Raw genomic sequence first — 12,691 nt, 5'->3', positions numbered from 1 at the left:
AATCCAAAAATTGGGAAGACCTGGAAAGAAATAAAAGCCTGATAAATGTCCCCTCTTCTATAGTGGGAGATTTTTTTACTCTAAAATTGAAACAAAATAGATTAAAGAATGCTTTTGAAACCTTGGAAGGTAGTCAGTAATTGAATGAAAACAAAATATATTGGTATTATTACACTAGAAAAGGATATAGCAAAGAAAGCATGACTTACATTGTAAATTCAGAAAACAACAAAATAATAAGAAAGTAATACTAACAAAACTATAGAAAGTGACAGGCGTAAGGCTAAATATATCAGTAATAACAATAAATATAAAAAAATATTATTTTTTAAAAAACACTCAGGTTGCTTTAGAAGATACAACTTTTTCAGTTTTAAAGAACATATCCAAACGAAGACAACACATATAAGTTAGTAGTAAAAATCTAGATAAATATAAATAACAGTAAATAAAAATGCTGCTCTCTCGGCCTTAGCACCATTTTCTTGGAAACCTCTGCACCATGAGAGCCAAGTGGAGGAAGAAGCGAATGCGCAGGCTGAAGCACAAAAGAAAAAAGATGAGGCAGAGGTCCAAGTAAACTGCTAGCTTGTTTCACGATTCAAGAGGATCAATATCAATAATGGGGAAGGAAAGGAGGCAGGATTAGACAGATGTAGTACAGCTGTGATATAATGACCCTTTCATACCATCCAAGGTTCTGGTGACAGAGTTAGGTTGTAGGCCAAACATATCATTCATAGCAATAAATATAAAAAGGGTTAAATTGGCCTTGGGTCACCAGGGAAAGGAATGTGGCATTGGGTAGGGTGGCTCTTCAGTGGAGGCAATTCCCAAATGTTCTGATAACTGAGGGCTATCTACCTGCTGCAAATGCAGCAGAAATGAATATATATTTTATTCCTGAAAGAGAATCTGAGCTGTGCATCATAATAATCACTTTATTGAAAATGTTAGAAATAATTAAGGTCACATTTTCTGACAGGAAAAGAATAAACCACAGATTAAAAATGAAAATATAAATTAGTTTCTAAAACTGGAGTACTAAAAGTCTTATTCTTCAGTAACTTTGTATTTAAAGAGAAAACCTAAGTTAAAATTACTTTATGTTAATTGTGAATAAAAAAGAATAATCTACATGCTAAAATAGAAAGATATGAAACATTAAATAAGATACATATTTTTAATGTCTTATTTAAAACTTAATTATTATGCCAAAATGTTAAGAAAATAAATAGAGCAAGCTGAAGCCAGGAAGGAAATATTTACAATACATTCATCTAACAAAGGACTTGTTTCCACAATATGTAAAGAACTCCTACAAATCAATAATAAAGGCTACCCAATTTTAAAAATGAGCAAAATATTTGGACAGACACCTCACAAATGAAGATAAATGAATGACCAAAAACCACATGAAATGATACTTTAATAAAATTAGTCATCAAGAACAGCAGCCCCCAAACTTTTTGGCACCAGGGACCGATTTCGTGGAAGACAATTTTTCCTTGGACCCAGGAGGCGATGGTTTCAAGATGATTCAAGTGCATTACATTTATTGCAGACTTTATTTCTATTATTTTTACATTGTAACATATAATAAAATAATTATACAACTCAACATAATGTAGAATCAGTGGGAGCCCTGAGCTTGTTTTCTGCAAATAGATGGTCCCATCTGGGGGTGATAGGAGACAGGGACAGATCATCAGGCATTAGATTTTCTTAAGGAGCACACAATCTATATTCCTCACATGAACAGTTCACAATAGGGTTCACACTCCTATGAGGATCTAATGCCGGTACCAGTCCATGGCCTGGGAGCTGATCAAGAAAATGCAAATAAAAATCCCGACATACAGTTACACCCCAACAATAATGGTAAAATTAGAAAGATTGACAATACCAAATGTTAGTGAGGTGTGGAGCAAATGAAGCCCAGATACTTTGTTGATAGGATTGCAAAAGTTACAACCTTTGGGAAACCGTTTAGCAGTTTTTTATAAAGTTGAACTAGTTAACTACCCTATAACCCCAAAATTTTACTATTAGCTATTCAGCTAAGAAGAATAAAAGCATAGAGCCATGAAAAACTTGTATGAGACTTGTATTAAAATAAATTTATTTATTCTAATAAAAAAACTTTTTAAGAGCCTACAAAATTACAGACTCTTGCATAAATAGATAAACAAATTGGAGTATGTTCACACAATGGACTACTACTTGGCAATACAAAGAAATGAATCATGGATATACGCAACAACATGAACAAATCTCAAATACATGATTTAATTTATGTGAAGTACAACAGACAGATGATAAACATCAGAACACACACCTTTGGGATGTGCGGTGGAAACTGACTGGCAAGCAGCATGCTGGACCCTTCTGCAGGGATGGCAATGTTCTGTATCTTGCCTTGGATGTGGGTTACATGAGTGTATGCATTTGACAAAACTTACTGAGCTGTCCATGAAAGATCTGTCTATTCCATTTTCTGTAGACAATACTGCAGAAACACACACAAACACACACACACACACACACACACACACACACACGATGTTTGTTTTTTGTTGTCCTATGTGGTTTAAGTAATTTCAGAGCACCAAAAATAGGAAAATCTCTCTGATTTATTTCCAAAAGTTTCTATATCACTGATTACAAAAGTCAGTAATAATAGGGTATAAGTAGAGTAAAAAGAAACAGAATACAAACAGTGTGAATAAAGCAAACAAACAAAAAGACCCCTGGCAAATTGAATCTAACACTATGCTAAAAGAATAATAAATTTTGAGAAAATTATTTTTATTTCTGGCAGATGAATTGTATAATGTACCACAGCAACGTCAAAGTATTTAAAAAAACACTACCAGTTGAGAGGTGTTGTAAAAGAATTTGATAATATTTAATAATCCAATTCCTTAAATACTAAAAACATCAATAACAGCACACACAATACTTAATATCATAATAAATGTGAAATATTGGAATCATTTTCATTAAATTCAAAAACATAATAAGCCTAATGTTTAATAATTATTTATTTATATTCTAGAGGTTCTTATGCAATAATACATGTAAGAAAAAGGAGCATAAACAATGAAAAATTTGAAAGTGTATACCATGTAATAACTTGCCTATAAGTGTAATAAGGATGGATTACTCTATAAGTGGATGAGTACAATTTCCTAATATTTAGAAAAAATAAATTTCACAGCATACTCCAAGTACATTAGCAGTAAATTAAACTTTATATTAAAAGTAAAGAAGCATAAAGCCACTCAAAATAATAATAGGTCAAAATATATATAATTTCATGGTGATGAAAAATTTTGTAAATTCAAATCCATAGAAAAGAACTTTAAAAAACTAAAATTTAGAACAACTAGAGATCTCTAAAATAATTAAAATTTATCAAATATTCTATATTCCTAATGCATAAAACCTGTTGAAAAGTGTAGACAAAAGACAAATATATAAATACCAAAAAATGAGCAAATGTCATCAGTGAGAAAACTGCCAAAGAACAAAAATAGCTAAGTTTGTTGTCTGCAAATTTAATTAGTTAATTACTGCTTTTACTAGACAAGTAAGATTGATAACATTTGAAATAAAAATGACAAATATTTATATCTAGGGTTTATAGATAAATGAATGCTGCTCATAGAAGAGTAAATTGGAAAAATGATTTTGGAAGATTGTGCAATATCTATTATAAGCTTCAAAGTTTGAATGCCCATTAATACAGCAATTCCACTTCTGGAAATTTATTCTCAAGAAATCATTATTGAGGCTGAGGCAGGAGAATGGCATGAACCTGGGAGGCGGAGCTTGCAGTGAGCCGAGATGGCACCACTGCACTCCAGCCTGGGCGACAGAGCGAGACTCTGTCTCAAAGAAAAAAAGAAATCATTATTGATATCTGTAGGTCTCTATGCAAGTTATATAACAGTTTCTAATATGCAAAATTTGGAAGCCATATATTCAACAATATAGATGGATTAGGAAATATTGTACATCCCATAAAATGGAGAAAAAGTTATAAATATATACTCTAGTAGAAAATATGTTTTACAGAAGGCAATGAAGAGTATGACCCCAATGTTTTTCAAAAAAGACTGTCTAAAATTATGTATATTAAAAAGATAGAGAGGATTGCCAATATAGATATTGATATAAGAAAAGTAAATATTTTTGAATGATAAATTTGTGGTGCAGTTAAATTTCTTTATATTTTACATTTTCTAAGTTGAATACAAGAATAATTATTTTAAAATAAGGAATATGGAAAATTAAATGAGTTTTTTTGTGTGCAGTCAATAACCAGTTAGAAATATTTGAAGAGTCCATACAAATTAGCAAAAAGTTTAAAACGCTATAAAATAAGTTCAAAGAAATGTGCAGAAAATGAAATTTCAAAAAATGAATAGCTATGACATATTGCCAGATTGACTCACTACATTAAAATATCAGTTATATAAAAATGAATGTGTACACATAATGAAAATCCAATCACCCCTGTACATACTTTTGAAACATCACAAAACAATTATAATATTCATCAAAAAGAATAAATTGGAGAGACTAGAAAATACTTTTTAAGTATAATAATTAAGAAAATTTACTTAGCAAAACTTTAAAAGTAATAATATATGTTATACAATTAAATATGGATAAAGAAAAACATATTTCACTATATAAAGAAATAATTTCTTTAAGTAAAAATAAGTTATAAAAATTTAAAGGTCACATTCAAATTGGAAAATTTTTAGTATATATCACAAATATATACACCAAAACATTAATATCTTTAAGATGTAGGGATCTTCTACAAAGCAGTAAAAATACAGCTATTCCATAGAAAATCAACTCAGAATTTGTACCAGTGAGAACTGAAAATGTTTTAAATGAACAAAAATAGGTAATTGGGTATACAAATTGTGATACAGCTGTGTCATGAGATAGATACTTCAATTATAATCATGTTGTAGAAGAAAATATCATGTGAAAATACCGACAATTACTGTTTAGTAAATAAAATAGGCTGCCTAATATCTTGTGCAATTTAACATAATTTTTGAGACTACAGCATATACAACAAAATATTTAAAACATTGCTTTCTCTGAGTAATAGAAATATGAATAATATTTTTGCATTTGTGCTTTTCTATACTGCCTAATTTGTCTACATTAAAGAGAAATACATTTGTTTGCAATCAAAAGTGTATAAACAAATTATATTGATGTGTGCCACAATTTTTAAAGGAAACAATAACCCTTTGTTATTGTTAATGCCCTAATTTCATTTTCTGCACATTTCTGAAGGAAGGAAGGAAGGGAGGGAAGGAGGGATGGAGGAAGGAGGGAAGGAAGGAAGGAAGGAAGGAAGGAAGGAAGGAAAGAAGGAAGGAAGGAAGGGAGGATGGATCAAGCTAAGCACTGAGCATAAGATAGACTAATTTTTATTTTGGAATTTAATGGGTTCCTAATAACAAGAGTCAGAATGACAGTAAGTTTTCAAACTTAATTACTGGTGGTGTCACTCTCTGACAGGAAGGAGGAGAATAAGAAGATAGCTACCCAGAGTTAGATCCTGTAGAAGTACGTCTCCCTGAAATATAAGTAGCAGATACATTTCATTAAGCTGAGTATCATCAGCTGCTGTGAGTCAGTGAGAGTTAACATAAAGCATAGTAGTGTAAAACAATCACTAATGTTTTGAAAACATTTCGCCCTGGATCCAAAATGGGCTATCAGTATAGATACCTGTGCTGGGCTTAATTTTCTGTTGGCACTGAAAAGTAGAAAAATATTCCCTGAAGCTCTGGCAGTGTTTGCAAGGTGGTAAGTATAGAAAATAGGAAATAATTTAATGTGGTTCAAACTGGTACTCCTGAAATGTCTCTAAAAATAAATCCTTTCTGACTCTTCATTATGTGGCACAAATGAGAGGTCCAAAAATTATGGCTTGACACCCACTTTACATTCAAGGTCAGATAGGCAACAATCAGGCGATGATATTTTATTCTTCTGCACATATGAAATTCTGTTTGAACTCATCAAATTGAATTTATAGATGTCCTAAAATTGGTTGTAAGTAGGACAAGTTCTCTACTTGGTTTCTTAATGCAAGTGAATTACAAGCCAGGCATGATTTTATTTGGTATAGAGGAGAGAAGTTAATAATTTTAGCCCCAACCTTGACTATAATACAGGTCTCCATTTTTAAGAACAGCCAATTTAAAGACCTTGGCAGTGATCATTCAGGAAAATTTCTGAATAGGACACATTCACATAAAGCTTTTTTCCCCTCTGCCAGCATCTCTATAACTACTAAGAAACTTGTGAGGAAGAAAACAAAATATTTGAGTATAAACCAAATGAGAGTTTTTATTCACTAAATTTAAATCTGAAGAGCTGTTCTTCTAGCATTGAGGGTTTGCTTGAATCCCACAAAACCCAGCAATAGTTAGAGCTTAAACGGATACTCTGTCCTTAGCTCACCTCCCAGTATCAGACTTCTGTGGGTGTGTGTAAAACTCATCATGTCAAAATGAAATTTAACGTCTTCTTTTTGGTTGAAATCATATTGTATTTTTAGTTAGAGGTTTTCTTCTTAATATTTTAGAGGTGTTAGTTTATATATTCCAAAATATGCCTCCCCTGGGGACAGGAAGGAGGCACTGAACAGGGCAATGCCACAATCTTACAAAAGGAATAAAAGGCCAAAGAAAATGTTTAGTTAATCCTTAATAGCAAAACAATAGAAGAAAGATTTGAAGATACCCCATATAATTAATAGAGTAGAACTAAGCATAACCTGCATGCTTCCAGGAAGATCACAGAATGCACTGTGGAAATAAGCAATACAGTAGTTAATCACTTCAGATAAATCATGCAGAAAGTACTATATGTTCCACATCCAAGATAATGATCAAACCTCTTCAAAATCATCCCATCTGGTAAATCTTTTCCAAAGCTCAAATTGCGCCAGGCCATCCTTAACCATCTTCCACCATAAGGGGCAAAACGCTAATGTGGCTGTAGTCTGACTGCTTCAGCAATTATGGCTACATGCAAATAAACATTATCATCAAAAATAAAATCCTGTGGCACATCTAAAAGACTTAAAAATGTTTGTAAGCTTAAGAATGCAACAGGCCATGGGTGACAAACCACCAGCTGGAATTTTCAGGAGTAGAGGGAGGCAATGTGTTTCAGATTATTCTGAGAGCACACCCAAACTGTGATTTCTTGCAAAAGGAAGGTGATACAAACTCAAATAAGAACCGTGTCATTCAGAAAAGCACTCTCAAGAGCAATAAATGATCTTTTGGAATAATTATAGAAAGAGCAACTGCATTTGAGTCATGTTAAATATTTACATGTTTAAGAAACAGACTTTTCAGGCTACATTATTGGTTAAGCCAACTGCTCAATTTTAAGAGAGATTGTATGTCTCTTTCATAATTCCTGAAATCTGTGCTGATATCCAGTGTTGTCCAAACTCATAGGATTGAGCTGTTATGATTTTAATTAAACTTGCAAAGTGGCATATTAAAAGCAGATCTGACCAAAGATACAATGAAGCAAGAGGGTGAGGCTTAAAACAATATTAACAACTAGTGTTTTGTGGTTCTCTTCAAATACCAAAGGAGGTTGAATTGGAGTGAGGGAATATTGGTTAATAAATTTCCAGAGAAAAAAGAAACCACCTCTATTTTCAATCTTTAAGCACCAGGGAGAAGGAAGAACCTTAGTTAAGTATTGTTTACAATGTTTCTCTAAGTTCAATGCAGTGCAATGAATTTGTTGACACCTCAAGCAAAAAATATTTTATGTATAGAGTACATACTTAGAGCTGGATTTTCAAAAATATGCATAAAAATTTTCAGGAGAAAATGCTGACAGATTCTTAACTTTTCGAAGGCTAGGGAGACACCACCGTCTACTTCAAAATATAGTATGTAAGAATTGTTAAACAAAAGGTTAATAAGTCGATTTTACTTCCTTTTTCCTGGAGCTCTAATTTAAACAAGTTGTACACACAAGTGATGCTACACGCATAGGGTTTTGCATTAAGTTTGCAATGTCAAGTTTGTTTATAAAAACCATATTTTTTAACAGCTTGCCCCTTAGCTCTGTTCTGAGCAGTTACAAGCCCTAGCCAATTTGGTATTGATTTTAAAGAGACAGCTCTCATTTCTATGAACTCTTTAATGGAGATATTTCAGACCTTGGAAAAAAATTCTTGTTTTAGACCTTCCATAGTCTTACAAATGTACAATTAAGTTTATTTACTTAGCACAGAAAGAGTACTCCTGTTTGCTATGACTGGCGGGTGGCCCCTGCCAGCTCTTGGAAGACCTGCGGAGTTTTTATTCCTTCTCTCCTAGCATCATTTATGTGTGCAGCTTGTTTTAATTTCATCTCTTTCTCTCTCTCTCTCTGCTTGGTCTCCACTACTGTGAAGAAATTTCCACATAATGCCTTCGAGGGCATTTACCACATTTTTGTTCCTGTTTAGAACTTTTAACTCCATTCATAAACCTAGTGGTCACACAGTAGTTAATAAGGGAAAGAAATCTTTATAGACTTTTCCACCGTGGTTGAAATCCTGACTTCTGTAATTTATGCCCAGCCATAACAATGCTCGTAAGCAGCTGTGGAACAGAAGACCTCCCACTCATGGATTTGCTGCCACTTCAAGGAAAATGCTGAGACTTTGCCGAATATTTATGAGAAAAAATTGAGAGTATTTGCTTTGTAGTTCATTCGCACGTGACAATACTATAGTAGTTTTTGCTTTGTTCATACCAGAGAACCTTAACCTGACATTTTTCTCCAGCCATTTTTTTTTCTTTTCAGCTGAAGAGCACCAAAACATAAAGTAAATGCTATCATTATGAGGTTCTAGAAATACATTGTAGCTGGGCTTCCCAGATAAGATATTCATTAAGAGGCTAACCTCTTATGGTATGAAAACTATGTGGGTTTCTATACTATGTCTTGAAACGTCAATATAGTTCGGGGGCCAAACAGCAATGACCCTCACGGCTAATTACTCATGCTTCATCCAGGAAGTACCATTGTTTGCAATGTGGCTTAGGCTTATACAAACTTAGTTCTTTGATATCAAAGAAATTATCCTGGGCAAAATTGTGTGCTCAGTGCAGTTCAGCAGGGCAAGCTTTTTGCTTGAGTTCACCCAGGGAAATAGGCAGAATGAAGACCTTTCTCTGGGCTGCTCTCAAAAGTACTGCTCTGCCACCACACCTCTTGTTGTATTTCTCCTAAAGCCCCTTCAGAAAATGGCAGAAGTTACCTAAGATCTTGACCAAAAAGAAATGTCATTTTTATATGGCAATTTCTATGAGCTCCGGGATTGAATTGAGTCACATTTGGCCGTGGTAACATTGAATGAGGCAACATCTGTGACTTCACAACACTGTAGTGTCAGTCCTCAGAGATGCATAACAGAATCACAGCAGTGGGAAGGCTGACAGAAGTGTACCTAAGTCCTGGAAGGAATTTCCCTAAGTATGGACAATTGTGTATCATCTTAGAAAAGATCAGATCATCATCCATATTATCAATACCATTACCGCTTTCAGCCGTAGCATCAAAGACCATTCACACAGTGCCTAATTTTGATAATACTGATAATACTAGGATAGCCCTCTTAATCAAAATACAAATTCACTCCTACACATTCAAAGAGCCCAGTCTAAGACATTTTAGCTGACATTTGTAATTTTATTTTTACAATTTTTTTATCATGGGTCTATTTCTTCTCTGATAGCTCTTGGATTTCTTTGGGATAGTTATCTCATTCCCTTTGTCAGTAGTCTTAGTGGAATAGTAAAGCATCCCACTTGAGAGCTGAAGAAGTCTTTGGATAATCTTTCCTCCTTTATTCTCCTGGATTTTGATAATGGTCACATTCCACACTAATCTCCTTAGGTATTTATAGAAAATTTTATCACCTCTTGGCGATCACCATGCTCACTTGTGATCCAGTCATCCCCAACATCCCAATGCTCATAGTCAAAAAAAAAAGAAAAAAGAAAAATCAAGTCCTTTCAATTGCAGTCTATAATATTTCTTTAATGTCTTCTTCATCCCCTCTTCCCCTACTATCACAGTTTGGGTCCTTGGCATGTGTCTCCTAGCCTCATGTGATAGTCTCCTCACCAGTATGCCTGCCTCCCATTTCTCTCCATCCCAATTCTTTGTAATAATAAAAGTAACTCTAAATAATTGATGCCTTATGATGACCTAGTTATTATGATAAACACCTTTTTTTATTTGCTTGTTTGATTGTTTTTGTTTTTTAAGATGGAGTCTCACTCTGTTGCTCAGGCTGGAGTGCAGTGGCGTGGTCTTGGCTCACTGCAACCTCCACCTCCCGGGTTCAACTGATTCTCCTGCCTCAGCCTCCCGGGTAGCTGGGATTACAGGCACCCACCACCATGCCCAGCTAATTTTTGTGTTTTTAGTAAAGACAGGGTTTCACCATGTTGGCCAGGCTGGTCTTGAACTCCTGATCTCAAGTGATCCACCTATCTTGGCCTCTCAAAGTGCTAGGATTACAGGCGTAAGCCACATCGCCCAGCCTTAAACACTTTTTAAAATTTAATCTTCACAGCTCTCCTGAAGAAGATACTTGTTTTTCCCAATTTATAAACAAGGAAATCGAGGCTAAGAGATATTAAGAGACTTATATATGATCACCCAGCAAATAACTATTCTAGGTGGGATTTGAATTCTGTTCTATATGACTCCAAATTCCAGAGGAAGTAGAAACAGCTACCGCCCCTCACACTACTGGCAGAGTAATCTTTCCAAAACACAAATGCCACTTTCTATTTCACTGCTCATAACTCTAATGGTTCCTCCTCTATTGTTATACAATAAAGTCACCCACAAATGAGGCTTTCCATGCTTTAGCTTTTCTGGCCACCTCTTGCCAATCACCATGCTCACTTGTGATCCAGTCATCCTCAACAGCTCGGTGTCCTTAAAACAAGCTACATTCTCTGGTGCCTCTTCCTTTGTGATGTGCTGCTCCTCTGTGAGTCAGGCTTTTTCAGTTTCTTGTATCTGAAAAATCCCTGCTCAATCTTCAAGATGCATCTGACATGTAAATTCTCTGTGAGACCATCCTTGGATCCCCTGGCTAAGCTCATTTCCACCTCCCTGGTGTACCCATTGAACTCCAACATTCCTCTTCTTGGGTCCTCATTACACTGTATTCAAGCACTTGTTGCCCCTTCTGTTTCCCTATTAGATTGTGGCTTCTGCAAAGCTCTGTGCTTTATTGGTTTTCTATCTTTTCAGCTTTCATCCCACCCCACCTTATTTTGCATATTGTAATATATTTGTTCATATTCCTTTAGCCAAAACTCTTCAACAGTTTTCCATCATATTTAGAATAAAATCAGGAAGACTTAATATTGTCCAAAAGGTCTCATGTGTCCTGGCCACTTCTGACCTCATCTCCACCTTCTGCAAGTTCATTCATGTGGCCTCCAAAACCATTCCTTGAACAGATCACGGATATGTCGACCTGAAATCTTCACGCTGACCATTTCATCTGCCTGAAAGGCTTTTTCCCCAGAGATCTGCCGGGATGTTCCCCTTTCTTCATTCAGGTCTTTGTTCAAATGCCAGCTCCTCAGAAAAATTTCCCTGGCCACCCATATGAAATAGAAACATAAAATCACAGCCACCAGCATGCCTGTTACCCTTCTTCCTATTCATAACACTGGCTATTATCTGTTGCTGTCTTACACACCTTGGTGTAAATTTCTTTATTGTCTCCATGCCCACTGAAATGGAAGCCACATGAGGGCAGGCTTCTGCCTGCTTTCTTCAGTGCTATCCCCCCAGGGTTTTCACTTGCAGCTACTTAATAAATGTACATGAGTATATGGACCTCTTTTCCTGATTTCCAGTGTTTACAGCATTTTCAGTTATACTGCAGAACCTCAAAATATGCTTACTATATCCTGAGCAAACTGTGTTATAAATTAGAAGGAATTGCCATGGAATTTCCCCCTCATAAACTTGACAGGTTAAAGAAACATATCAAAAGTTCATTAAATGGCAAGAGGGTGCTAATTTGACAAGTAGTGAAGCAGGAAAGAAGAGAAGGAAGAGAGAATTCCAACATATAATTCGTAAAATTATTTAGTGACCTTGCCTTGCCCTAATATAGGATGCTTTCCTGACCTTACTCCTTCTGCAGTTCCCTCCTCATACTTCAAGGCCCAGGATGAACCTTTCCACCTCCAGGCCCATCCCTGAGCAGCCTCACTCTTTCTGAACTCTAAGGGCTCTAAATGTTGGCCACAACCACATGACTCACATGACTATTAATAGGATCATTCACCACATCCTTCTGTCTCATCTAAACTCATTGTTCCTATCTAATCAACTCCATAGCAGCAACTCAGCCTCTGACATTTTTTTCCATTTTAGCCCAGTCTGAGTCCATAAAATGAGCCACCAACGTACTCAATACAGCCGTTTGTATCAAAGACGACAAAGCATTTATATTCTGATGGAATTAACCCAACATAAACTCCTCCTCAAAATGAGCTGTCAGAAGTGAGAGTCTCACACTGGATAAAAGGGAGTAGGGTGAGTGGACCTACTGGAGGCTCTCCTTCTTGCATGAGCAGCA

General features: G+C 35.2%; 1 annotated feature.

Annotated features, from left to right (window-relative positions):
- Positions 8,936-9,230: a silencer, noted in NCBI's record as "tiled region #6757; HepG2 Repressive non-DNase unmatched - State 24:Quies". NCBI's record gives its function as "represses a minimal TATA promoter and a strong SV40 promoter by Sharpr-MPRA in HepG2 cells {active_cell/tissue: HepG2}" and the evidence as "EXISTENCE:reporter gene assay evidence [ECO:0000049][PMID:27701403]".

Source organism: Homo sapiens, chromosome 2 (genome assembly GCF_000001405.40).
Source record: "Homo sapiens chromosome 2, GRCh38.p14 Primary Assembly".
In the NCBI taxonomy this organism is placed as follows: domain Eukaryota; kingdom Metazoa; phylum Chordata; class Mammalia; order Primates; family Hominidae; genus Homo; species Homo sapiens.
This window is presented reverse-complemented; position numbering and strand designations above follow the sequence as displayed.